Raw genomic sequence first — 27,874 nt, forward strand, 5'->3', positions numbered from 1 at the left:
ACTTTGGGAGGACAAGGCAGGCAGATCTCCTGAGGTCAGGAGTTCAAGACAACCTGGCCAAAGTGGCGAAACCCTGTCTCTACTAAAAATACAAAAATTAGCTGGGCTTGGTGGCAGGCACCTGTAATCCCAGCTACTCAGGAGGCCGAGACAGGAGAATTGCTTGAACCCAGGAGGCAGAGGTTGCAGTAACCCAAGATCGCACCATTGCACTCCAGCCTAGGTGATAGAGCAAGGCTCAGTCTCAAAAAAAAAAAAAAGAAAGAAAGAAAGAAAGAAGGAAAGAAAAAAAGAGAAAGAAAACAAAAGAAAGAAAAATTTAAAAATAAATAAATAAATAAATGGGCCAGTGGCTCACGCTTATAATCCCAGCACTTTGGGAGGCCGAGGCCAGTGGATCACCTGAGGTCAGGAGTCTGAGACCAGCCTGGCCAGCATGGTGAAACCCCGTCTCTACTAAAAATGCAAAAATTAGCCGGGCATGGTGGCACATGCCTGTAGTCCCAGCTACTCGAGAGGCTGAGGCAAGAGAATTGCTTGAACCCGGTGCAGGTTGCAGTGAGCTGAGATTGCACCACTGCACTCCAGCCTGGGTGACAGAGCGAGACTCCATCTCAAAAAAAATAAAATAAATAAATAAATAAATAAATAAATAAAACAAAAACTGATAGAACCACAGGAGAAACAAACAAATGCATTATTATAATCAGAGATTTCAATAATCCTTTCTCAATAATTTATAGAAAAAGTAGACAGAAAATCAGAAGACAAACAACACAATCAACCAAATGGACCTAATTGACATGTATACAATATTCTACCCAACAACAACTGATCTCACACATTATTTTCAAATGTACAAAGAACACTTACCAACATAGGCCATATTCTGGACCATAAAACAAATCTTAATACATTTAAAAGGATTCAAGTCATACAAAGTTTGTTCTCTAACCACAGTTTTGTTTTCTTCTTTTTTCTTTTTCTTTTTTTTTTTTTTTTTTTTTTGAGACAGAGTCTCACTCTGTCGCCCAGGCTGGAACGCAGTGGCATGATCACAGCTCACTGCAGCCTCGACTTCCTAGGCTCAGGTGATTTTTCTACCTCAGCCTCCCGAATAGCTGGGACTACAGGTGTGCACCACCAAGCTAATTTTTGTTTTTGTTTTGTTTTACTTTATTTCATTTTATTTTTTTATTTTTTTTATTATTTTTTTTTTTTTGAGATGGAGTCTCGCTTTGTCACCCAGGCTGGAGTACAGTGGCGCAATCTCAGGTCACTGTAACCTCTGCTTCCCAGGTTTAAGCGATTCTCCTGCCTTAGCCTCCTGAGTAGCTTGGATTACAGGTGCACACCACCATGCCCAGCTAATTTTTTTGTATTTTTAATAGAGACGGGGTTTCACCATGTTGGTCGGGCTGGTCTCGAACTCCTGACCTGATGATCCGCCCACCTCGGCCTCCCCAAGTGCTGGGATTACAGGCATAAGCCACCACACCCAGCCTTTGTTATTTTTTTTTAAAGATGGGGTTTAACCATGTTGCCCAGGCTGGTCTCAAACTCCTGGGCTCAATGATCTGCCCACCTCAACCTCCCAAAGTGCTGGGATTACAGGCGTGAGCCACCACGCCCAGCCCCTAACCACAGTTAAACTAGATATTAACAACAGAACATCTTTGGAAAAACACACAAATATTTAAAAACTAAATAACACATTTTAAATAACCCATGTGTCAAAGAAAACATCAAAAGGGAAATTAGCAAGTACAGACAACATAATAATCTATGTAGAAAATCTAATGGAATCTACAAAAAGCTTCTAGAAGTAATAAGTGAGTTTAGCAAGGTTGGAAAACACAAGATCTATATACAAAATATACCAAAAAGTATATATTTTCATGCTGTAACAATGAAGAATGAGAAATATAATTTTTTTTTTTTGAGACAGAGTTTTGCTCTTGTTGCCCAGGCTGGAGTGCAATGGCGCGATCTTGGCTCACTGCAACCTCCACCTCCTGGGTTCAAGCCTTTCTTCTACCTCAGCCTCCCAAGTAGCTGGGATTACAGGCGCCCACCACCACACCCAGCTAATTTTTGTATTTTTAGTAGAGACGGGGTTTCACTATGTTGCCCAGGCTGGTCTCGAGCTCCTGACCTCAGGCGATCCACCTGCCTCAGCCTCCCAAAGTGCTGGGATTACAGGCATGAGCTACCACCCCCGGCCGAGAAATAGAAATTTTAAAAACATTACCCTTTCTAATACATCAAAAATATGAAATACATAGAGATAAATCTGACCAAAAACTCTGCAAGACATAAACACTGAAAACTAAAAAACATGCTGAGAGGAATTTTGAAAGACCTAAATACACAGAAAGGTATACCTTGTTCAACATGGGTTGGAAGACTCAATATTGTTAAAATGTCCGTTTTCCCCAAGTTGATCTATAGATTCAATGCAATCCAAATCCCAGCAGATTTTTTTTTAGAAACGCACAAACCAAGTTATATGGAAATACAAAGGATTTAGAATAGCCAAAAAATTTGTGAAAAAGAATAAAGTTGGAGTGCTAGCCCTTCCTGATTTCATGACCAAAAGTCATGAAAACTACAGTAACCAAGATATGTGGTATTGGTGTAAAGATATACAAATACATAAGTGGAACAGAATAGAACCTCCAGAAATTAACACACTCATATATACAAACAACAACTTCAACAAAGATACAAAAGCAATTTGTATTTTCAACAGATACTAAAGCAATTCAATGGAGAAAGGACTGTCTTTTCAACAAATGATGTTAGAACAGACATCCATATGCAAAAAAATGACACTTCAGTCCTTCCCCTTGCAAAAATACCAGATGATACACCTAAATGGAAAGCCTAAAATAATAAAACTTCTAGGAGAAAACATGGTGATTCTAGGAGAAATCTTGGTGATTTTGTGTTAGGTAAAAATTATTTTATACAGGCTGGGCGCAGTGGCTCACGCCTGTAATCCCAGCGCTTTGGGAGGCCGAGGCAGGTGGATCACAAGGTCAGGAGTTTGAGACCAGTCTGGCCAACGTAGTGAAACCCCGTCTCTACTAAAAATACAAAAAAAAATTAGCCAGGTGTGGTGGTGTGCGCCTGTAATCTCAGCTACTCAGTAGGCTGAGGCAGGAGAATTGCGTGAACCCGGAGGCGGAATTTGCAGTGAGCCGAGATTGCGCCACTGCACTCCAGTCTGGGTGACAGAATGAGACTCCGTCTCAAAAAAAAAAGAAAAAAAAAATTATTTGATATGACACTAAAAGCCACAATTCCTAAAGTTTGAAAATGTATAAAAGGCCAGGCATCATGGCACACACCTGTAATCCTAGCATTTTGGGAGGCCAGTGCAGACGATCACTTGAGCTCAGGAGTTTGAGACTAGTCTAGGTAATATGGCAAAACACTGTCTCTACAGAAATAAAAAAATACATATATATTTATATATATATATAATATGTGTACTATATATATAGTAAAACATTTTTAAAAATAAAAATTGGCCGGGCGCGGTGGCTCACGCCTGTAATCCCAGCACTTTGGGAGGCCGAGGCGGGCGGATCACGAGGTCAGGATATCGAGACCATCCTGGCTAACACGGTGAAACCCCGTCTCTACTAAAAATACAAAAAATTAGCCGGGCGTGGTAGCGGGCGCCTGTAGTCCCAGCTACTCGGGAGGCTGAGGCAGGAGAATGGCGTGAACCCAGGAGGCGGAGCTTGCAGTGAGCCGAGATCGCGCCACTGCACTCCAGCCTGGGCAACAGAGCGAGACTCCGTCTCAAAAAAAATAAAAATAAAAATAAAAATTATAGATTTAATATTTATAACGTCTCCTCTCCAAAAGATATTAAGAGAATAAGGCCAGGCACGGTGGCTCACGCCTGTAATCTCAGCACTTTGGGAGGCCAAGGCAGGTGGATCACCTGAGATCAGGAGTTCGAGACCAGCCTGGCATTACAAGCATGAGCCACCATGCCTGGCCTAATTTTCTTTTGGTAGAGACAGAGTTTCATTATATTGCCCAGGCTGGTCTCAAACTACTGAACTCAGGCAATCCTCCTGCCTTGGCCTCCCATAGTGCTGGGATTATAGGCATGAGCCATTGTGCCCAGCCTTATTTTTCTTTTTGCCATCCACAGGACTCTGCTCGATAGATTTCTTGTTCATTTTTTAGAATAAATGGATTGGTAAAGAGCACCTACAAAAAACTTACAGTTGGCTGGGCATGGTGGCTCATGCCTGTAATCCCAGCACTTTGGGAGGCTGAGGCAAATGAATTACTTGAGGCCAGGAGTTTGAAATCAGCCTGGCCAACATGTTGAAACCCTGTCTCTACAGGAAAAAAAAAAAAAATTAGCTGGGTGTGGTACTGCATGCCTGTAATCCCAACTACTTTGAGGCTGAGACACAAGAATTGCTTGAACCTGGGAGGTGGAGGTTGCAGTGAGCCAAGATCATGCTACTTCACTCCAGCCTGGGTGACAGAGACTCTGTCTCAAGAAAAAAAAAAAAAAAAGGCCAGGCGCAGTGGCTCAGGCCAGGCATAGTTGCTCACACCTCTAATCCCAGCACTTTGGGAGGCCAAGGCAGGCAGATCATGAGGTCAGGAGTTTGAGACAAGCCTGGCCAACATAATGAAACCCCATCTCTACTAAAAATACAAAAAATTAGCTGGGCATGGTGGTGAGCACCTGTAATCCCAGCTACTTGGGAGGCTGAGGCAGGAGAATCGCTTGAACCTGGGAGGCAGAGGTTGCAGTGAGCCAAGATCGTGCCATTGCACTCCAGCTTGGGCAACAGTGCAAGACTCCAACTCAAAAAAAAAAAAAAAAACTTACAGCTAACATTACATTTTGTGGCGAAATACTCATTGCTTTCTGCCTAAGATTGGAAACAAGGCAAGAACATCTTTTCTCTTAACTCTTAATCAACATAGTGCTTGAAGTGCTAGCCAACACAATAAGGCAAGAAAAAGAAACAAAAGGCATATAGATTGGAAAGGAAGAAATAAAATATCCTTATTTATAGATGACATGATGATTTGCAGATGACATGAAAAATCCCAAGGAATCTAAAACAAAACAAAAACCCTACTACTAAGTGAGTTCAGCAAGGTTGCAAGGTATAAGAATAACATGCACAGGCCGGGCGCAGTGGCTCATCCCTGTAATCCCAGCACTTCGGGAGGCCAAGGCGGGCAGATCATGAGGTCAGGAGATCGAGACCATCCTGGCTAACACGGTGAAACCCTGCCCCTACTAAAAATACAAAAAATTAGCTGGGTGTGGTGGTGGGCACCTGTAGTCCCAGCTACTCGGGAGGCTGAGGCAGGAGAATGGCATGAACCTGGGAGGTGGAGCTTGCAGTGAGCGGAGATCGCACCACTGCACTCCAGCCTGGGCGACAGAGCGACACTCCATCTCAAAAAAAAAAAAGAATAACATGCACAAATCAATTGTGTTTCTATATACTAGCAATGAAATTATGGACACTGAAATTTAAAATACAACACCATTTAGGAGATATAAATAAAAGACACTGTTCATACATTGAAACACTCAATATAGAAAATATATCAGTTCTCCCCAAATTGATGTACAGATTTAAGGCAACTCCTATCAAAATTCCAGCAAGAATTTCTATAGCTATAAACAGAATTATTCTAACGCTTATATGGAAAGGCAAAGGAATTAAAACAGCTACAATTTTCAAAATGAAGAATAAAATGGGAGGAATCATTCTGATTTCAAAACTTATTATATAGCTACAGTAATCAAGCCTATGTAGTTTTGGTGGAGGGATAGACATAGAGATTGATAGAATAAAAAGAACCCAGAATAGCCCCCACAAAACTATAGGCAACTGATTTTTTATAATGGTGTAAAAGCAATTCAACAAAGGAGGAAAAATTCCTTTCAACGAATTATTCTAGCATAATTGGATATCTTCAGGCCAAACAAACAAAACAAACCTCAAACTCAAAATGGGTTGCATATTTAAAAGTAAAGGCCAGGTGCAGTGGCTCATGCCTGTAATCCCAGCACTTTGGGAGGCCGAGGCAGGCAGATCACCTGAGGTCAGGAGTTCGAGACCAGCCTGGCCAACATGGCGAAACCCCATCTCTAATAAAAATACAAAAATTAGCCAGGCATGGTGGTGGGCGCCTGTAATCCCAGCTACTCAGGAGGCTGAGGCTGGAGAATTGCTTGAACCTGGGAGGTGGAGGTTGCAGTGAGCCGAGATCGCGCCATCGCACTTCAGCCTGGGCGACAAAAGCGCAACTCTGTCTCAAAATAAATAAATACATAAAATTAAAGAAAAAAAGTAAAGCATAAGGCCTGGTGCAGTGGCTCATGCCTGTAATCCCAACATTTTAGGAGCCCAAGGCCGGAGGATCACTTGAGCACAGGAGTTCGAGGCTGCAGGCTGCAGTAAGCTATGATTGTGCCACTGCATTCCAGCCTAGGCAACCAAGTGAGACCCTGTCTCTAAAAGTGAACAAACAAATAAATGTAAAGCATAAAGCTATAATTTTTAGAAGATAACATTGGAAAAAATCCTCAGGACCTAAGGTTCAGTGAAAGGTTTTTAAGACATAACCCCAAAAGTACCATTCATAAATGGAAAAATTGATGTTAGACTTCATCAAAATTTAAAATTCATGTTCTCTGAAAGACCTTGGTAAGAGGATAAAAAGACAAGCTACAGACTGGGTGAAAATATTTATAAACTACATATTCAGCTAAGGGCTAGCATCTAGAATATATAAAGAACCCTCAAAATTCAACAGTTAAAAAAAGTTAGAAAATGGGCAAAAAACATAAAGAGACATTTCACTAAAGAAGATAGATGACAGATAAGCACATAAAAAGATATTCAACAATGCATCTCAGAATGTTCCTCCAAATTTGAAAAAAAAAAAAAAAAAAAGATATTCAACATCATTAGCCATTAGGGAAATGCAAATTAAGATCATGATCAGCTGGGTGCAGTGGCTCATGCCTGTAATCCCAGCACTTTGGGAGGCCGAGGCAGGTGGATCATCTGAGGTTAGGAGTTTGAGACCAGCCTGACCAACATGGAGAAACCCTGTCTCTACTAAAAATACAAAATTAGCCGGGTGTGGTGGTGCCCACCTGTAATCCCAGCTACTCGGGAGGCTGAGGCAGGAGAATCACTTGAACCCAGGAGGTGGAGGTTGCTGTGAGCTGAGACTGCACCATTGCACTCCAACCTGGGCAACAAGAGTGAAACTCCGTCTCCAAAAAAAAAAAAAAAAAAAAAAAACCATGATCATATATCACTACCCACTTAGGAGTGAAATGGGAAAAGTTCCCTTGTCCCCCTCGCAGGGCGTGCGATGGGGGTGTTGTTCGCTTCTTCAGTGCCCTGCTGCTCAAACCTCTGGGGGAGTATTCAGACGGGCAGGCTGTGGGGTTCTGACCCCACGGCAGTGATCTAGGGGTGAATTTACAGCTGAAGCCCCAGTGGGCATGTGTTACAGGGTACTCTTAGTTTAGTAGTCTGTAGGTGGCTTCTGTTAGTCAGCTCAATTATACTTGTGCCTTATCTCCAGGTCAGAGAGCTTTCTGTAATCCCAGGATTCTTGCCTGATGTACAGGAAGAATTGGATGGATAACACGTGGGCTTGGAGAATGAGTGCAAGGTTTTATTGAGTGGAAGTAGCTCTCAGCAGATGGGGTAGCCAGAAGGCGGATGGTTTTCCCCTGGAGTCAGGCCACTCGGCAGCCCGGGATCTCCTCTGACTGCCCCAGCCAAACTCCGCGTCCTCCGGCTGGTCAGTGGCCTGCTGGCGTGCTGGCGTCTGTCCTGTCATCTTCTGTCGATGTGTTCCTCTCGACATCCTGCTGCTTGTGTGTCTGCAGGCTAGGGTCTCGGGGTTTTTATAGGCACAGGATGGGGGCGTGGCAAGTCAGGGTGGTATTGGAAAATGCAACATTTGGGCAGGAAAACAAAAATGTCCGTCCTCACCTAGTTCCGTGGGCACAGGCCTGGGGGTGGAGCCCTAGCCAGGCACTATGCCCTCCTCTACCCAGCACTTCCCTTCCACCCTTCCGTATCACGAGCACAGGTAAAATAAAAAATCATGACAACACCAAATGCTGAATCTGAATCATTTATGCATTGCTACGGTGAATGTAAAATGGGAGAGGCATTCTAGAAAACATTCTTTAAATGTTTAATATTTAAAGAATTTTCTTTAAAAATTCACCTGTAATCTCAGCATTTTGGGAGGCCAAGGTGTGTGGATCACAAGGTCAGGAGTTCGAGACCAGCCTGGCCAACATGGTGAAACCCCATCTCTACTAAAAATACAAAAATTAGCTGGGTGTGGTGGCAGACACCTGTAATCCCAGCTACTCAGGAGGCTGAGGCGGGAGAATCATTTGAACCTGGGAAACGGAGGTTGCAGTGAGCCAAGATCGCACCATTGCACTCCAGCCTGGACGACAGGGCAAGACTCCATCTCAAAATAAATAAATTAATGAATTAAATTAAATTAAATTAAAAAATAAAATATGCCACTATCATATGTTCCAACAACTGTGCCTTTGGACATTTATCCTAGAAAACTGAAAACTCTGTTCACAAAACCCCATACTTATATTCATAAAAACATATACACAAGTGTTTGGAGTAGTGTTATTCCTAATAGCCAAAAACTGAAACAACTCAGATAACCTTCAATGAGTGAATGGTTAAACAAGCAGTGCTATATCCATTTTATGGAATGAATACTGGGCAATAAAAAGGAATAAACTATTGACACATGCAACAACCTAGATGAATCCCCGGAGAATTATGCTGAGTGAAGAAAATCAATCCCACAAGGGTATATACCGGATTATTCCATTTATATAATATTCTTCAAATGACAAAATTATAGAAATGGAGAACAGGTTAGTGGTTGCCAGAGGTAAAGGAGGGTGGGACAGAAGATGGTATAGCTATAAAAAGGCATCATAAGGGATCCATATGGTTTGAAAATGTTTTGTACCCTGACTATATCAACGTGGATATCCTAGTTGTGATACAGTACTAATGTTTTGCAAGATGTCACCATTGGGGATCGCTGGTTTAAAGGGTACATAAGACCTCTAGGCATTATTTCTAACAACTGCATGTAAATCTACAATTATCGCAAAATTAAAAGTTTAATTTTTTAAAAAAATGTTTCCAATAAATAAACAAATGGATGGATGGGAGTTCTAATATTTTCTTCCCATGCCATAATGGATCATCTTAGGCACACCCAGATTTAGGGATCACTGACGTATGCTACTTTTACCTACCCAGTCTTAGAGCCCCTTTGGTTATTCTCTACATTCTCTTAAAGTTGTCTTTCTTAAATGCAAATCTGATCATGTTACTTCTCAAAATCAGTAGTCTGACATATAAGGGCCTCCATGATCTGGCTTTAGACCTTTACTCAAATACGTACCTGTACACCAAACTACTTGCAGTTTTCTTTATTCCTTTTCTTTTTTTTTTTTTTTTTTTTGTTTGTTTGTTTGTTTGAGACAGAGTCTCGCTCTGTTGCCCAGGCTAGAGTGTGGAGTGCAGTGGCACAATCTTGGCTCACTGCAATCTCCGCCCCCTAGGTTCAAGTGATTCTGGTGCCTCAGCCCCCTGAGTAGCTGGGATTATAGGGGTGAGCCACCACCCCCAGCTAATTTTTGTATTTTTGGTGGAGAGAGGGTTTCACCATATTGGCCAGGCTGGTCTCGAACTCCTGGCCTCGTGTGATCTACCCACATCAGCCTCCCAAAGTGCTGGGATTACAGGCAGGAGCGCCAGGCATACTTGCAATTTCAATTATGCAAAACCCTGTCTTGAGTGTGAGATACCTGAGGACAGGCACAATGACTTGTCTTTGCTTGCTGATAGTATCTCTAATTCAATGATCTCTAAGGCTTAATGTGTTCCCGAGCACATATTAGGAGTGCAGTAAACCTTGACTTAAAGAAGCCTACTATAAGTGTGTATTTCATTTGCTTTTAATCCTAAGAGCCCAGAGGTATTGATTCTGTGTTACCTCAGAACACTGACCTGCAATCACTCCTGCCAGGTACACCAGCCCCACACGGAGGCCTTTGTGGACCATTTCCAAGGGAATACCCAAAACAAGCTGCATACAAAGATTCCCCAAGATGTGCTGAACTCTGCAAAGACAAACAATAGTTGTCAAATATTATGACTAAACCAAGCAGTTATTTCCCTGGGAGATGAACAGACTTTCATGTGTTTTCTCTAGTTAAGGATTTGCTTAACTAGAATTCCATTTTCTAATTTTTCTTCGCAGACAACTCTTTTTTTCTTTTTCTTTTTTCTGTGTGTGTGTGTGTGTGTGTGTGTGTGTGTGTGTGTGTGTGTGCGCGCGCGCGCGCGTGTGTGACTTGCTGTGTCTCCCAGCCAGGGGTGCAGTGGTGCAATCTCTGCTCACCAGAACCTCTGCCTCAAGGGTTCAAGTAATTCTCATGCCTCAGCCTCCCAAGTAGCTGGGACTACAGGCATGTGCCACCACTCCTGGCTAATTTTTTTTTCTTTTTTTTTGGACGAAGTCTCCCTCTGTCGCCCAGGCTGGAGTGCAATGGCATGATCTTGGCTCACTGCAATCTCTGCCTCCTGGGTTCAAGCGATTCTCCCGCTTCAGCCTCCCTAGTAGCTGAGATTACAGGTGCCTGCAACCACGCCCAGCTAATTTTTTTTTTTTTGGTAGACGGAGTTTTGCTCTTGTTGCCCAGGCTGCAGTACAATGGCATGATCTCGGCTCACTGCAACCTCCACCTTCTGAGTTCAAGCGATTCTCCTGCCTCAGCCTGCTGAGTAGCTGTGATTACAAGCATGCGCCACCATGCCCAGCTAATTTTGTATTTTTAGTAGAGACAGGGTTTCTTCATGTTGGTCAGGCTGGCCTCAAACTCCTGACCTCAGGTGATCTACCTGCCTCAGCCTCCCAAAGACTGGGATTACAGTAGTGAGCCACCATGCCCGGCCTAATTTTTGTATTTTTAGTAGAGATGGGGTTTCACCATGTTGGTCAGGCTGGTCTCGAACTCCTGACCTCATTGATCCACCCGCCTTGGCCTCCCAAAGTGCTGGGATTACACGCATGAGCCACCGCGCCTGGCCCGTTTTTTTTTTTTCTTGAGACAGGGTTTCACTCCCTTCACCCAAGCTAGAGTGCAGTGTCTCGATTTCGACTCACTACATTTCCATCTCCTGGGCCTGAGGATTCCTTAATCGTCCCACCTCAGCCTCCCCAGCAGCTGGGACTACAGGCACACACCCTGTGCAGATCTAATTTTTTATTTTATTTTATTTTTTTGTAGAGATGGGGTTTTCACCGTGTCACCCAGGCTGGTCTCAAACTCCTGGGTTCAAGCAATCCATCCACCTCAGCCCCTCAAAGGGCTGGGATTACAGGTGTGAGCCACTGCTCCTGGCCACAGATTCTTTTTAAGTGCCTTACTATGTGTTAGGCACAGTGAAAATTATAGCCATTATCTCATTTAATCACAACAACTTTATGAGGTAGGTACTATTCATATTACTCCATTTTACACCTGAGGAAACTAAAGGACAAGGAAGCTAAGTAACTACCATATACCATATATATATATATATATATATATATATGTGTGTGTGTGTGTGTGTGTGTGTGTGTGTGTGTGTGTATTTACATATACACGTGTGTGTGTGTGTGTGTGTATTTTTTTTTTTTTCTTGAGACAGAGTCTCACTCTGTCACCCAGGCTGGAGTGCGGTGGCGCGATCTCGGCTCACTGCAACCTCCACCTCCTGGGTTCAAACGATTCTCCTGCCTCAGCTTCCCAAGTAGCTGCGGTTACAGGCACCTGCCACCACGCCCAGCTAATTTTTGTATTTTTACTAGAGACGGGGTTTCACCATGTTGGCCAGGCTGGTCTCAAACTCCTGACCTCAGGTGACCACCTCAGCTTCCCAAACTGCTGGGATTACAAGGCATGAGCCACTGCACCCAGCCTACTATATACTATAATACTGTACTGCCTTACATTGCTATTTAACTGACATGTTCCTTCTTATCATCTTAAAGTCCTTGTGTGCGGGAGCCATGTTTGCTCAGAACATACTTGTTAAATGGAAACTGAGCAGTTGGTGATTTTGCCCCTGATTTGTCAAGCCTCTGAGCCATGTGTCCTGATGCCTATTTAGCCACTAAGCAAAAGTGTCATCCTTTCTATTTTATTTTTTATTTATTTTTAACTTTTTTTTTTTTTTGTAGAGCACTCTCTATGTTGCCCAGGCTGGTCTCAGACTCCTGGACTCAAAGCGATCCTCCTTCGTCAGCCTCCCAAGTAGCTGGGACTGCAGGTACACATCACCACACCCCAGCTACAAGTCGTTTTCAAGTCCAGAGTTGGGTAGACTGCACAGAAAAGGTTGGCCCCACCTGAGACCACAAGAGTCCACCGGATAGGTGGGGCCAACAGGAAGCTGCTCGCTGTCTGCAGTGGGCATGGTGGATCATGGATGCTGAGTGAGTTCATGAAAGGCCATCGGCATTTAAGAAACTATAGGCGGCCGGGCACAGTGGCTCACGCCTGTAATCCCAGCACTTTGGGAGGCCAAGGCAGGCGGATCACAAGGTCAGGAGATTGAGACCATCCTGGCCAACATGGTGAAACCCCGTCTCTACTAAAAATACAAAAATTAGCTGGGCGTGGTGGCACGTGCCTGTAATCCCAGCTACTCGGGAAGCTGAGGCAGGAGAATGGCTTAAACCAGGGAGCCAGAGGTTGCAGTGAGCCGAGATCGCACCACCGCACTCCAGCCTGGCGATAGAGCTAGACTCTATCTCAAAAAAAAAAAAGAAAGAAAGAAACTGTAGGCAAAACTAAATGGCGGGCACTGCATCTCCTATTACCAGTATTATTCCAGATGGATAACAGTATCCCACACTCATCAATATGTTCATGAACTAAATTTATTTTATTTTATTTTTGAGACAGAGTTTCACTCTGTCACCTACTCTAGAATGCAGTGGCGCGATCTCGGCACACTGCAACCTCCGCCTCCTGGGTTCAAGCAATTTTATTGTCTCAGCCTCCTGAGTAGCTGAGATTACAAGCGCATGCCACCACGCCCAGCTAGTTTTTGTATTTTTAGTAGAGACGGGGTTTTACCATATTGGTCAGGCTGGTCTTGAACTCCTGACCTCAGGTGATCTATCCACCTCAGCCTCCCAAAGTGCTGGGATTACAGGTGTGAGGCACTGTGCCCGGCCATGAACTAAATTTTGTTTGATGTATGATGGTGGAGGAGGAGACTGGTTATTCAGCACCACCATTTTCATAGCCTAAAGAGTATATTTAACAACATTAGACAACTAGGGGAACATGCTTTTGGTTTTGCAATGATTTGATCTCTTCTCATTAATATTCCTAAATACTAATATTGGGCAGTTATAATGCAATATAAAGTATACTGGCCTTAAGGGCACAGTGGCTCACACCTGTAATCCCAGCACTTTGGGAGGCCAAGGCGGATGGATCACCTGAGGTCAGAGTTCAAGACTAGCCTAGCCAACATGGTGAAACCCCGTCTCTACTAAAAGTATAAAAATTAGCCCGGCCTGGTGGCAGGTGCCTGTAATCCCAGCTACTCAGGAGGCTGAGGCAGGAGAATCGCTCCAACCCAGGAGGCGGAGGTTGCAGTGAGCCGAGATCACACCACTGCACTCTAGCCTGGTGACAAGAGCGAGACTCCATCTCAAAAAAAAAAAAAAGTAAGAAAGGATGCTGGCCTTAGAGTTAGCACTAGTGGGCTGAGGTCCTAGCTCTGCAACTTAGCTGTGTGACTTGGAACAAGTGACTACATCTTTTTTTTTTTTTTGAGATGGAGTCTCACTCTTGTCCCCCAGCCTGGAGTGCAATGGCACGATCTCGGCTTACTGCAACCTCCGCCTCCCAGGTTCAAGCAATTCTCCTGCCTCAGCCTCCCGGGACTACAGGTATGCATCACCATGCCTGTCTAATTTTTTTATTTTTAGTAGAGATGGGGTTTCACTATATCAGCCAGGCTGGTCTCGAATTCCTGACCTCAAGTGATCTGCCCACCTCAGCCTCCATGACTACATCTCCTATGCCTCAGACATAAAACAGTGGGAGCAATACCTACCCCTTAGGGTTGCTGTGAAGATTATGGACATGAAAGTGCCTTATCAATAATAAAGCACTCAACAAATGTTAGAGGTTACAATGATATAATCACCTCTGATACCAGGGGCTTAACTATCATTGCTTACCCAGCATGTACCAGCATGTATGAGATAAACCTCCAGGCTTCCTCCCTCTTCTCAGGACTGTAGATAAAGGGACTCTCCAAGATGCCTGTGTCCAACGTGATCCACTGTTTCTGAGGCTTCCACACAGCATAGTAAATAAACACTGCCAGCTGATGGAGGGAGCAGACATGAGTATTAACCACACCTTCTCCAGAGAGGGGCCCCATCCAAGCCCGTGGGCAGTAACTGTTTCAGATGATTCAGCTCTCAAGTGGGCCACACCATAGTGCCAGAAGGTGACATGAAATACACTTCTTCACCATCCCCTCTGTGATGGTTTCCACCGTACCCCACTTCCTCTGATGGTTGGGAGCAGTGCTAGCTCACATTGTAAGGAAGACTTTCTGAACCCCTTTTGCCCTGCTCTTGGACACCCTGCTCTCTGGCACTACGTTCTCTACTACCCTCTCCCTCTTAAATACCCACTGCCCTCATCGTCGCACCAACTGATCTTTCATTTACAACTTGCTATGAAAGTAGGTCAATGCTGGCTTCCGAATAATAGAGCAGGGAAAGGGAAAAATAGTCACTTGCCAGGGGAGAGACCTGGCAAACCCTGCCTTAACCAAGGGATGGAGGTGAATGTCCCAGTGATGCCACATGATGTCCTCAACCTTCTGAGGCTATGTGATGGGAAGGGCCCTTCACCTCCGTGGTATTCTTCTCCCAAACTCATAACTCCAGTTAAATCACGAGAAAAGCATCAGTCAAACCCCAGCTGGGGGACATTCTACAGGATCCCTAGCCAGTCCCCCTCAAGACTATCAGAGTCATGAAAAACAAAGACTGAGAAGTTGCCATAGATCAGAGGAGCCTGGGTAGACATGGCAGCTAAATGGAGTGGGTACCAGAGGAACAGAAAGAGGACATTAATGGAGAAACTGGTAAAAATCCAGGTAAATCTGGAGTTTAGTTAGGAATATGCCAATGTCAGTTTCTTAGTTTTGACAAATGTACTATGGGGCCAGACGCAGTGGCTCATGCCTATAGTCCCAGCCCTTTGGCGGGAGGCTGAGGCAGGTGGATCACCTGAGGTCAGGAGTTCAAGACCAGACTGGCCAACATGGCGAAACCACATCTCTACTAAAAATACAAAAAAAACAAACAAACAAAAAAAAAAACTAGCCAGGCGTGGTGGTGCACACCTGTAATCCCAGCTACTTGGGAGGCTGAGTCAGGAGAATCACTTGACCCTGGACAGCGGAGGTTGCAGTGAGCTGAGATCACACTACTGGCACTCCAGCCTGGGCGACAGAGCGACTCCATCTCAAAAAAAAAAAAAAATACTATGGAAATGTAATGTACTATATACAGAGATTATCCTGGGTTTGAAAAAAAAGAAAAAAATACAATGTACTATGGAAATGTAGGATATAAACAATGGGAGAAACTGGGTGAGAGGCATACAGGAACTTTCTTTTTTTTTTTTTTTTTTGAGATGGAGTCTTGCTCTGTAGCCCAGGCTGGAGTGCAGTGGCGTGATCTCAGCTCACTGCAAGTTCTGCCTCCTGGGTTCACGCTACTCTCCTGCCTCAGCCTCCCAAGTAGCTGGGACTACAGGTGCCCGCCACCATGCCCGGCTAATTTTTTGTATTTTTAGTAGAGACAGGGTTTCACCGTGTTAGCCAGGATGGTCTCAATCTCCTGACCTTGTGATCCGCCCACCTCAGCCTCCCAAAGTGCTGGGATTACAGGCGTGCACCACTGCGCCCGGCCTACAGGAACTTTCTGTTCTATCTTTACAATATCTCTATAGAGGTAAAATTATTCCAAAATTAAAATTTTTAATTTAAAAATTGGTCTTTCTGTGAGAGGCAGGTATCTCAGCATCTGCTCCATGAGCCTCCTATGGCAAACTGCCCTCCTCCATAGCACTCATTGCCTAGGCAATTGAGGTTTGTACCACGATACCTTATCTCATTGTTCCCCATTCACCTGGACAAGACACACACACAGCTGATTGAAACACAAGACAACCCATAGGCCAGAAGGATAACAGGAAGGAGAAGCAGAAAAAACAGATACAGATGTCTCAGATCCGGACGACTTCCCAGTTGCAAGCAGTCTCACAGTGAAATCCTGTGAAAAAAATTAGAACTGTGCCCCTTCACCCTAAACAGACTTGACCACAGCATCTCCCAGGATGCTTACACCTTAGCCTTACCTTTGTCTGAGCCATAAGAGGCTTGGTCCCTGCAACAGTTAATTTTATGTGTCAACTTAGCTAGGCTATGCTACCCAGACATTTGCTTAAACATTATCCTAGGTGTTTTTGTGAGGGTATGGTTTATACTAATATTTAAATCAGTAGTCTTTGAGTAAAGCCGATTTCCCACCATACTGTGGGTGAGCCTTGTCTAATCAGTTGAAGGCCTTGCTAGAGAAAAGATTGTCCTCTGTTAGGAAAAGGGAATTCTGCCAGCAGAACTCTACCTTTGGACTTGAATGGCAAGTCTTCCCTGGGCCTCCAGCCTGCCAGCCTTCCCTGAAGATTTTGGACTTGCCAAGTCTCCATAATCATTTGAGCTAATTCCTTAAAATAAATATTAATCTCTCTTCCCCCAGGGAACACACACCTATTGATTCTGTTTTTCTGAAGAACTCTTGACTAATACAGTTTGTGATAAGGAAGCTGAGGCATCAGTGCATCAGTGGGAACTAAAAGGGTTACATTAGGAACTTCCTAATGCCCCTGAAGTCACACTCCACAGGCAGCCATGGTTGGCCAGTTCCTTTATAGGACATCAAGTGTGGGGGAAAAAACTAGGTGCCACGAGGTACAGGGGAGCCTCATCCTGGCCCAGTGACTATGATGTGACCTTGGGATAGTCATCCCACCTCTCTGAGCCTTGCAGTCTTTTCTGGAAAACAAGAGGACTGACTAGATCAGAGCCTGAAAACACACCACGTGCTGCCTGAAGTAGACATTGTTAAAGGATCCCGTTTTTTTCCTACTGAAATTCAGAAGAATTCTATAACACTTCTAAACCTGGGGTCCCAGAAATGCCTTACCAACCAGCCTAAATCGGTTCATGAGAGAAAGCCCTTGTGCAACCCCAGAATGATTTGCTTCCTAAAGACCTCACAACTAAAATGAAAGGAAGCCACTGAAATTGCAGCCACAGCTGGGCAGATTTGTCTGACAAATGAAACTCCACCCTGGGTTGGCAGTGACCGTGAGTATAGGGAAAGCCTCAAAGGCAGCTGTGGGGAGAGCAGAGGCAGAGGTGAGGTGTGTGCTGTCCCCATCCCCACGAAGCTCTCTCCCATGTTCCCAGTCTCTTCTCTAGATCTAGATCTGACCCCTAGTTTGTTCCCAGCTTCCCCATGCCACTTACCCCGGTGCCCACCCCGCTCCCCATTCACCTCGGCCAGGCTGATGGAGATGATGAACACGGGAGGCGGGAAGCAGTTAGCTCTCTCCAAGTATGTTCCTCGGGACTTTTCGGGCAGCATCCATTTTGAGACAATCCTGTGGACCTTTTTACTCTTGGCCCGATCTTTACCTCCCCCATCCTCTCTCATTTTCTCCTCTTCCTCCAGCTCTTCTTTCATCTCTCTCCCCATATTCAGATTCATGCTCTCCATCTCCAGATCATGAACAGCAGCCATTGTCCTGGGTCCTCCCTCCTCCCCAGAAGGACATGAATCCCAGGGAACAGCAGGTGGCCCTAGGTCCTCAGGCTGCCGCTCTTCCCTGGGCTGTCTGGCGCAACGACTGCTTTCCAAGGCCTTTCCTGTATGTGAAGAGAAGACAGCTGAAGATGATCAAAATGATCTAAACCTCCTAAATGGCCCAAAATAAAGTTTTCTATGTAATTGTTTTAAAAAGAGCCAGATGACTGAGATTAAAATGCAGCTCTACCATGTATCAGCTGTAAGTTAACATCAGATAAATCACTTAATTAAATTCTCCAAGCCTCAAATTACATATTTCTTAAATTGTGGTGAAATACACATAACATAAAATTTACCATTTTCGCCATTTAATATATAATATATATTTTTTCTTTTTTTTTTTATGAGGTGGAGTCATCTTGCTCTTCTGCCCAGGCTGGAGTGCAATGGCGAGATCTCAGCTCACTGCAACCTCTGCCTCCTGGGTTCAAGCAATTCTTCTGCTTCACCCTCCCTGGCTAATTTTTGTATTTTTAGTAGAGACAGGGTTTCACCATGTTGGCCAGGCTGGTCTCGAACTCCTGACCTCAAGTGATTCACCCGCCTAGGCCTCCCAAAGTGCTGGGATTACAGGCGTGAGCCACCGAAGCCGGCCCTGTTTTTAACCATTTAGAGTGTACAATTCAGTGACATTGAGTACATTTGCAATGTTGTGCAGCCATCACCACTAGTTCCAAAACTTTTTCATCACAAACAAAAACCCCATACCCATACCTGTTAAGCAGTTAATTCCTATTCTCCTCTTACCACAGTCCCTGGCAACGACTAATCTGCTTTCTGTGTCTATAGATTGACCTATACTGGATATTTCACATAAATGAAATCATACAATACATATGTACCATCCAGTATGTGGCCTTTTGTGGTTGGCTTCCTTCACATGTTTTCTTTTTTTTTTTTTTTTTTTGAGATGTAGTCTCGCTCTGTCACCCAGGCTGGAGTCCAGTGGTGCGATCTCGGCTCACTGGAACCTCTGCCTCCCAGGTTCAAGCGATTCTCCTGCCTCAGCCTACCAAGTAGCTGGGATTATGGGCACCCGGCACCACACCCAGAAAATTTTTGTATTTTTAGTAGAGACAGGGTTTCACCATGTTGGCCAGGCTAGTCTCGAACTCCCAACCTCAAGTGATCCACCTGCCTCGGCCTCCCAAAGTGTTGGGATTACAGGCATGAGCCATTACACCTGGCCTAGAATTTCCTTTTTTTAATGGCTGAATGCTATTGCATTGTATAGACACGCCACATTTTGTTTATCCACTCGTCTGTTTATGGACATTTGGGTTGTTTCCACCTTTTCGCTATTGTGAACATCCCTGTACAAGTTTTCTCTTTTTTTTTTTTTTTTTGAGACAGAGTCTCGCTCTGTCGCCCAGGCTGGAGAGCAGTGGTGTGATCTCGGCTCACTGCAACCTCCGCCTCCCGGGTTCACACCATTTTCCTGCCTCAACCTCCTGAGTAGCTGGGACTACAGGTGCCCACCACCACACCTGGCTAATTTTTTTTTTTTTTTGTATTTTTAGTAGAGACAGGGTTTCACCATGTTAGCCAGGATGGTCTCGATCTCCTGACCTCGTGATCCGCCCGCCTCGGCCTCCCAAAGTGCTGGGATTACAGGCATGAGCCACCGCACCTGGCACAAGTTTTCTTTAAACATCAGTTTCCAGTTTGAGGGGGAGCATATACCTATGAGTGGAATTGCTGGGTCATATGGTAATTAATTCTATGTTTAACTTGTTGGGAAACCCTCAGATTCCATTTTAAACTGAGGATAATGATAGCACTTGCTTCATAACATTGCCGGGAAGCTTACTTGAGATAATGCATGTAAAGCACTTAAAACAGTATCTGGGCCGGGCGTGGTGGCTCACGCCTGTAATCCCATCACTTGAGGTCAGGAGTTTCAGAACAGACTGGCCAACCTGGTGAAACGCCATCTCTACTAAAAATACAAAAATTAGCTGGGCATAGTGGCACGTGCCTGTACTTCCAGCTGAAGGAAGGCTGAAGCAGGAGAATCGCTTGAACCTGGGAGGCAGAGGTTACAGTGAGCCAAATTCACACCACTGCACTCCAGACTGGGTGATGGAGCAAGACTGTGTCTCGAAGAAAAAGAAAAGAACTGTATCTGGCACGTAGTAAACACCCTATAATTATTAGTTGTTATTGGCTGTGGATGGATGAATGAGTTTTAGATGGATGGATGGATAGATGGAAGGCATGGAGCTGAGCCTGGCGCCTGTTTTCACACTGCATGTTACTGGGAATCAGATCAAATTCAACTGATTTTCAAATGAAACTCATTAGGCAAGTTTTCACATTAGAATAGGTTATATTCAATAAATTGAGGAAGAGACATCTTATTTTTCTTTTCCCCAGCAAATTTTCTGAAAATAAAGGCTTTTTCTCTCCCCTGCATTTTTCACCCACCCACTCACCCGCCTCCCAGAGTCAGACATTCAGTCCATAGATATAACTCTTTTATTAATTTCCCTTGAAGACTGATGATTTTTTTCTACTTTTTGCCACGTCTCATAATTGACAAAACTACAATGTGGATTTAAGATCAGCAGCTTTTAACCACAAATATTAAAGCATTTTAAAAATAAGTTCAATTAGGGACAGTTCACATTGTATAAATCAGCCTTTTTGTATCTAAATATCATACATAATCATTTTATGAGGAAATAAAATGTCACATTGTTAACAATACAACTGTATAAAAGGAGCTACAAAAATAAGGATTACATTTGCCCTTATCTTGGGATTTCAACAGTTCCAGAAATTTTACAACTTCAAGACCACCATTTTAAATATGTTAGTGCCTAAATATATTTCCTGTGCTGCAAAGATAGTTGACCCAACCGGTTTAGCCAAAACTCACTGCATGTCTGCTTTCTGCCTTGCCTTGTAAAGTAGACATGTAGTTCTAGCTACTTCAGGCTCTAGCACCAAATGAGCACATTACTAGCAATTAGAAACATTTGGGGTTTTTTTATTTAATTTTTTTGAGACAAGATCTCTCCCTGTCACCCAGGCTGGAGTACAGTGGCAGGATCACGGCTCATTGCAGCCTCTACCTCCCAGGCTCAAGTGAGCCTCCCACCTCAGCCTCCCAAGTAGCTGGGACTGCAAGCACACACACCACCATACCCAGCTATTTTTTTTTTCTTTGTTGAGATGGGGTCTTCTTGTGTTACCCAGGCTGGTCTCAAACTCCTGGGCTCAAGCGATCCTCCCGCCTCAGCCTCCCAAAGTGCTGGGATTACAAGTGTGAGCCACTGCATTTTGGTTTTACCTCTCTTCTCAATTACTATCATCCTCCAACTTCCATACCTCTCCACCCTGTTTCCTGAGAACAGGGGCCTCTCTCTGATTTATCTTATCTCCAATACCTGGTGCTATAATGCTCACAGGTGCTCCTTCCAGTCTCTAACATTTCCTCATCTCTCCCGCTCACGTTTATCTTCTGCCCCACTCCTGAATTTCTGAGGAAATATTACCTATTAGATTGGTAACAATGAAAAAGACTTAGGCCGGGCACAGTGGCTCATGCCTGTAATACCAGCACTTTGGGAGGCCGAGGTCGGTGGATCACCTGAGGTCAGGAGCTCAAGACCAGCCTGGCCAATATGGTGAAACCCATCTCCGTTAAAAATACAAAAATTAGCTGGGCATGGTAGCAAGACCTGTAATCCCAGCTACTCATGAGGCTGAGGCAGGAGAATCACTTGAAACCAGGAGGCAGAGGTTTCAGTGAGCTGATATCGTGTCATTGCACTCAACCCTGGGCGACAAGAGTGAAACTCCATCTCAAAAAAAAGAAAAAAAAAAGGCTGAGAATATCCCATATTTATGAGGTGTGTGGCAATGGGTGCAATGTATGAGGTATAAATTAATGCAGCCTTTTGGAAAGCAATTGGCCAATGTGTATAAACTATTAAAAGCATATACCTTTCAACAGAAACATCCAACCTCTAGAAATCCACCCTTCAAAGGTATTTGAGCACATACACAATGGTATATTACAAGGATATTCATGCAGAACTATTCATAGCCATGAAGAATTATAAACAACCTAGATGGACTTCAGCGGGGTTGCTGTATTTTCTAACAGTTCTAATTCATGGGTAGTTCTTCCTTACACTGCTGGAATCTATTCACCAGCTCCTGGGTCCAAGGTTTCCCTCCCTGGAGCCTCACAAAGCAAATCTAATCGAAGGTCATGTTGTCATTAATTTTGTCCTTCCTTGGGCATGGCCTGTATATAAACTCCATGGGCTCTATAGGTCAAACTTGGGATACAGCGTTCAGAAACACACGTCAGATTACCAGAATTTTTGGAAGCCCAATTGAATGGAGCAGGAGTCTCAAAACAAAATAATGATTACAACACATTCTAGTCTCAAAGAAATATTCAAGCATCAACATCTGTCCATTCATTTACTTGGCACTCGAGCACTCACTTATTGGGTGTCATTCACTGGGTGGAGATTTACTGCACTGACTCTGCTTTCTTACTCACTAAGCAAACCTCCTACCTCTTATCTGCAGCAAGTTGCTGCCCACTCTTTTTTGAAAGGCCTCGCATACACAGATCAAAACTGGGTGGCACTGCTGCGAGAAGTTCTCATCCTACAGGTAGGGAACAACTGAGTAGATTGTTAGAATGTCTCTAGCCTTCTGGTTAAAAATGGAAATGTTCCTTATGCACACCAAGAACCAAAACCCTTTCATGGGTTCTAAGGATTGGGGAGGGAGAGAAAAGAACCAAAACCCTTTCCTTCATGGTTGGCAGGTATTCTTTTTTCAAAAAAAAAAAGTTTTTAAACTTTATTATTATTATTATTTTGAAATGGTGGCCTCCCCATGTTGTCCAGGCTAGTCTCAAACCCTTGAATTCAAGGGATCCTCCCTGCTTGACCTGTCAAAGCATTGAGATTACAGGTGTGAGAGAGCCTGTAATCCACAAGTATTCTCAAGAGGAAACATAGAAAGATCCCACCTGGCCACAAGTACTCTTAAAAGGAAACACAGGGCTGGGCACAGTGGCTCACGCCTGTAATCCCAGCATTTTGGGAGGCGGAGGCAGGCGGATCACAAGGTCAGGAGATCGAGATCATCCTGGCTAACACAGTGAAACCCCATCTCCACTAAAAATACAAAAAATTAGCCAGGCGTGGTGGCGGGCGCCTGTAGTCCCAGCTACTCGGGAGGCTGAAGCAGGGGAATAGCATGAACCCAGGAGGCGGAGGTTGCAGTGAGCCGAGATTGCGCCACTGCACTCCAGCCTGGGCGACAGAGCAAGACTCCGTCTCAAAAAAAAAACAAGGAAACACGGAAGGAACTTTGCTACTTCCTGACTTTGCCTAGAATAAGCATTACTTGTTAACAATCACAGAGCCAGTGTATTGGCCAAAGACTTGAAAGGGCAGGACTGTGCTCATTTACTCAGGACAATTGACTACCTTAAAAAAAAAATCTGTTGAAAAGAGATTTCTTTTTTCTTTTTTTTTTTTTTTTTGAGATTGAGTTTTGCTCTTGTTGCCAGGCTGGAGTGCAATGGTGCGATCTCGGCTCACCACAACCTCTACATCCCAGGTTCAAGCAATTCTCCTGCCTCAAACTCCCAAGTAGCTGAAGTTACAGGCATGCACCACCATACCCAGCTAATTTTGTATTTTTAGTAGAGACAGGGTTTCACCATGTTGGTCAGGCTGGTCTCAAACTCCTGACCTCAAGTGATCCATCCACCTAGGCCTCATAAAGTGCTGGGATTATAGGCTTAAACCACCATGCCCAGCCGAAAAGAGATTTCTATAAAGAGATTTACATAGGAGACTCCTGACATTTGCAAGAGATTTTTCCAGACCTTTCAGATGCCCTAATGCACTACATACCACATAGTGTCTCCCAAAATTACATTGTAAAGTATAGCCAGGCCAGGCATGGTAGCTCACACCTGTAATCCCAGCACTTTGAGAGGCCGAGGCAGGCAGATCACTTGAGGTCAGGCGTTCGAGACCAGCCTGACCAACATGGTGAAACCCTGTCTCTAGCAAAAATACAAAAATTAGCCGGCAGTGGTGGCATGTGCCTGTAATCCCAGCTACTCGGGAGGCTGAGACAGGAGAATCTCTTGAACCCAGGAGGTGGAGGTTGCAGTGGGAGGCGGAGGTTGCAGTGAGCTGAGATTTTGCCACTGCATTCCAGCCTGGGCGACAGAGTGAGATTCTGTCTCAAAAAAAAAAAAAAGGTTAATCTCTCTCTTGATGAGCAGCCTGGCTGATGCACTCACTGAACAACTTTTCCTTGTATCTCAGTGACACACATGGTGGATCTAATGATATCAGGGATCTTAGACACCACTGAACTTGACACAGCATGCCAATTTATCCAAAACTTCTATTTGTAGCCAAAAAACAAAGTTACTGTCTTATACCTCCCCACTTTCTCTTTGTTTATATCACTGGCACTATTGGATTATTTATTTTATGAATCTTTTCTACTCTGCAAACAAGAAACAAATATTTTAATCACTGCATGCAAACTACATAAAGGATAACAGTCATGTGAGATATCCAGGCAGAGCAGTAGGCCTGGCTCACTAACAGGCAAAGCCAATCATTCAACTCATATTCATTTATAATGGGCCTTTGGGAGTAACTAATAAATTACCAAAATTGCAAGTGTTGAATCTGCAAATGTCAAAGACTTCCAGTGGATTCTTTGACAACATGTACGTAGTCGTCATTTGTCAGTTTTCTTGGGGAATTTATCTTCTCCTGGTGGGCAGCAGGAAACGGATCCCACTACAGACATTAACCATGCCCAATATTCACTTTTGCATGTCCCTAGGCAGCTAGGGCAGCTTGACCAATCAGCTGCATTTGCTTAGGATTTCTGAGGCTGGAGGTGAGGATGGAAAAAATTCTTTACAGTGGTTGCAGCAGTGGCAGCAGTATCCAGTGTCCAGACGCCTTGCCACTGGGGTCAGCATGGCATCCAGCATCCAACGCCAGCTGTGGCTGTGACAAAGGCAGCAGCACTGGGCGTTCAGCAGCAGCAGCACTGAGGCTGTCCTCACCTATCTGGCTCTGTGATGGAATTTGGTGTAATTCTAGGTACCTGGTCTCTGTTTCTGCTTTTTTCCCAAGCCTTGTTTCTACAGCCTTCAAGTGATTCTGTAACTTACTCAATGTGCTTTCAATAAAATTCATTTCCTGATTTAATTAGCCAGAATCAGTTCCCATCTTTTGCAATAAAAAAACCTGACTCGGGCAGGGCGCGGTGGCTCACGCCTATAATCCCAGCACTTTGGGAGGCAGAGGCGGGCGGATCACCTGAGGTCGGGCATTCGAGACCAGCCTGACCAACATGGTAAAACCCCATCTCTACGAAAAGTACCCAAAAAATTAGCCAGGTGAGGTGGCAGATGCCTTTAATCCCAGCTACTGGGGATGCTGAGGCAGGAGAATCGCTTGAACCCGGGAGGTGGAGGTTGCAGTGAGCCAAGATCGTGGCACTACACTCCATCCTGAGTGATAAAGCGAGACCCTATCTCAACCAATCAATCAATAAAAGAATGCTTGTGGTGCTCGCTTCAGCAGCACATATACTAAAAACCGGACCAATACAGAGAAGATTAACATGGTCTCTACACAAAGATGACACGCAAATTCGTGAAGCATTCCATACAAAACATCAGAGTTATTTTTTTAAAAATGTTTTTTAAAAGGAATGCTTCTGGAAGAAAGGGAGGGAAAGAGACAGGGAGAGAAAGAGAGGAGGGAAAAGGGGGAAGGAGGAATTCCAACCACACATTGACTAAGTCTTTGTGTGACTTTATGTTGAAAAGAGCCTTCTACCGGGCAGGGCGCGGTGGCTCACGCCTGTAATCCCAGCACTTTGGAAGGCCAAGGCGGGTGGATCACAAGGTCAGGAGATCGAGACCATCCTGGCTAACATGGTGAAACCCCGTCTCTACTAAAAATACAAAAAATTAGCCGGGCGTGGTGGCGGGCGCCTGTAGTCCCAGCTACTCGGGAGGCTGAGGCAGGAGAACGGCATGAACCTGGGAGGCGGAGGTTGCGGTGAGCCGAGATCGCGCCACTGCACTCCAGCCTGGGCGACAGAGCCAGACTCCATCTCAAAAAAAAAGAAAAGAAAAGAGCCTCCTACCAACCTTTTCCTCTGCAAGGCCGCACCACTTCCATTATCATTCTACCATCACTGGGCACCATCACTGTGAAGCTGCCATGTCATAATGGCTACCAAAAAAAGGGCTTGCCATCTGCCTTTGAAGAATAGCCTGCCTTGTGTTTGACACTATAAAGACCTGAATTCTACTCCCAGCATCCACATTTAGTTTTCCACTGGGCCTCAGTTTCCTCAGCTGTAAAACAGAGCTCACCTCTGCCCTGAGTATCTTACAGAATTGTGGTAAGAATCAAATAAAATAATAAAGAGGTACTAGAATAATAAACACTTACTGTGTGCCAGCATCCAGGCTAAACACTTTATGAGCATTGTCTTCATTAATTTTTACCACTTTGTAAAGCAGGGTAATAATATTCCCATTTTAAGGATAAAGAAACCCAGGCTCCCAAAGTAACTTACTCAAGGTCTCACAGCTAATAAGGGGAGGGCTGGGAGAAGAGTCTCGGGCGCCTGACTCCAAAGCCCCCACATGTTCCACAGCCCCTGTGATTTCTACGCACCAAGTGTTATAGAAAGGTACTCCTTCAACTGTGATGGGATTAGAGTTAAAAATGAAAATTTACTCCAGCCTTGGCAACAGAGCAAGATCCTGTCTCTGAAATAAATAAATAAATTGAAGATTTTAAAATGTAAATTTTTTTCTTTCTTTTTTTTTTTTTTTTTTGAGACGGAGTCTCGCTTTGTCGCCCAGGCTGGAATGCAGTGGTGCGATCTTGGCTCACTGCAACCTCCACCTCCCAGGTTCAAGCGATTCTCCTGCCTCAGTCTCTCAAGTAGCTGGGATTACAGGTGCCTGCCACCACGCCCAGCTAATTTTTTTGTATTCTTAGTAGAGACGGGGTTTCACCGTATTAGCCAGGATGGTCTCAATCTCCTGACCTCTTGATCCACCCGCCTCGGGCTCCCAAAGTGCTGGGATTACAGGGGTGAGCCACGGCGCCCGGCCATGTTTTGTTTTGTTTTGTTTTGAGACAGAGTTTCGCTCTTGTTGCCCAGACTGGAGTGCAATGGCACGATCTTGGCTCACCACAACCTCCACCTCCTAAGTTCAAGAGAGTCTCCTGCCTCACCCTCCCGAGTAGCTGGGATTACAGGCATGCGCCACCACGCCTGGCTAATTTTGTATTTTTAGTAGAGATGGGGTTTCTCCATGTTGGTCAGGCTGATCTCGAACTCCCTACCTCAGGTGATCCACCCGCCTCGGCATCCCAACGTGCTGGGATTACAGGCATGAACCACTGTGCCTGGCCATGTAAAAAAAAAATTTTAAATAAAAAATAATGGGCCAGGCATGGTGGCTCATGCCTGTAATCCTAGCACTTTGAGAGACCGAGGCAGGAGGATTGCTTGAGGCCAGGAGTTTGAGACCAGCCTGGGCAACACAGCGAAAGCCTTTCTCTACAAAAAAAAATTAAAAATTAAAGTTTGCCAGGTGCAGTGGTGTGCACACCTGCACTTCCAGGTACTCGGGAGGCTGAGGCAGGAGGATCACTTGAAACGGGGAGTTCAAGATTGCAGTGAGCTACAATGGTGCCACTTGCACTCCAGCCTGGGTGACAGAGCGAAACCCTGTCTCCAAAACCTAAATAAATAA

At 44.6% G+C, this 27,874-nt stretch overlaps 1 protein-coding gene, 1 long non-coding RNA gene and 1 pseudogene across 4 annotated transcripts in view; 2 read left to right on the forward strand and 1 right to left on the reverse strand.

Moving 5' to 3' along the window:
* Positions 1-27,874, reverse strand: part of RHBDL2 (rhomboid like 2) — a 56,024-nt gene that overhangs the window by 15,409 nt on the left and 12,741 nt on the right. For both annotated transcript variants that reach the window (NM_017821.5, NM_001304746.2), the window contains exons 2-4: positions 17,752-18,122; positions 14,347-14,495; positions 10,107-10,219 (exon numbers count right to left, since the gene is read on the reverse strand). In NM_017821.5, coding sequence (NP_060291.2) covers positions 10,107-10,219; positions 14,347-14,495; positions 17,752-17,997 — 508 coding nt within the window. In that variant the 5' untranslated portion in view covers positions 17,998-18,122. The remainder of the gene's footprint in view (positions 1-10,106; positions 10,220-14,346; positions 14,496-17,751; positions 18,123-27,874) is intronic.
* On the forward strand, positions 12,325-18,314 carry LOC105378662 (uncharacterized). Of its 2 annotated transcripts, none has more exons than XR_001737994.2 (2): positions 12,325-12,413; positions 17,959-18,314. It is a non-coding gene; the product is annotated as an uncharacterized LOC105378662 (long non-coding RNA). The 2 variants fall into 2 exon arrangements; XR_947215.2 differs by lacking the exon at positions 12,325-12,413 and adding an exon at positions 13,938-14,052.
* On the forward strand, positions 25,655-25,762 carry RNU6-605P (RNA, U6 small nuclear 605, pseudogene; annotated as a pseudogene).

The sequence above is a fragment of the Homo sapiens genome, chromosome 1, assembly GCF_000001405.40.
Source record: "Homo sapiens chromosome 1, GRCh38.p14 Primary Assembly".
Taxonomy (NCBI): Eukaryota; Metazoa; Chordata; class Mammalia; order Primates; family Hominidae; genus Homo; species Homo sapiens.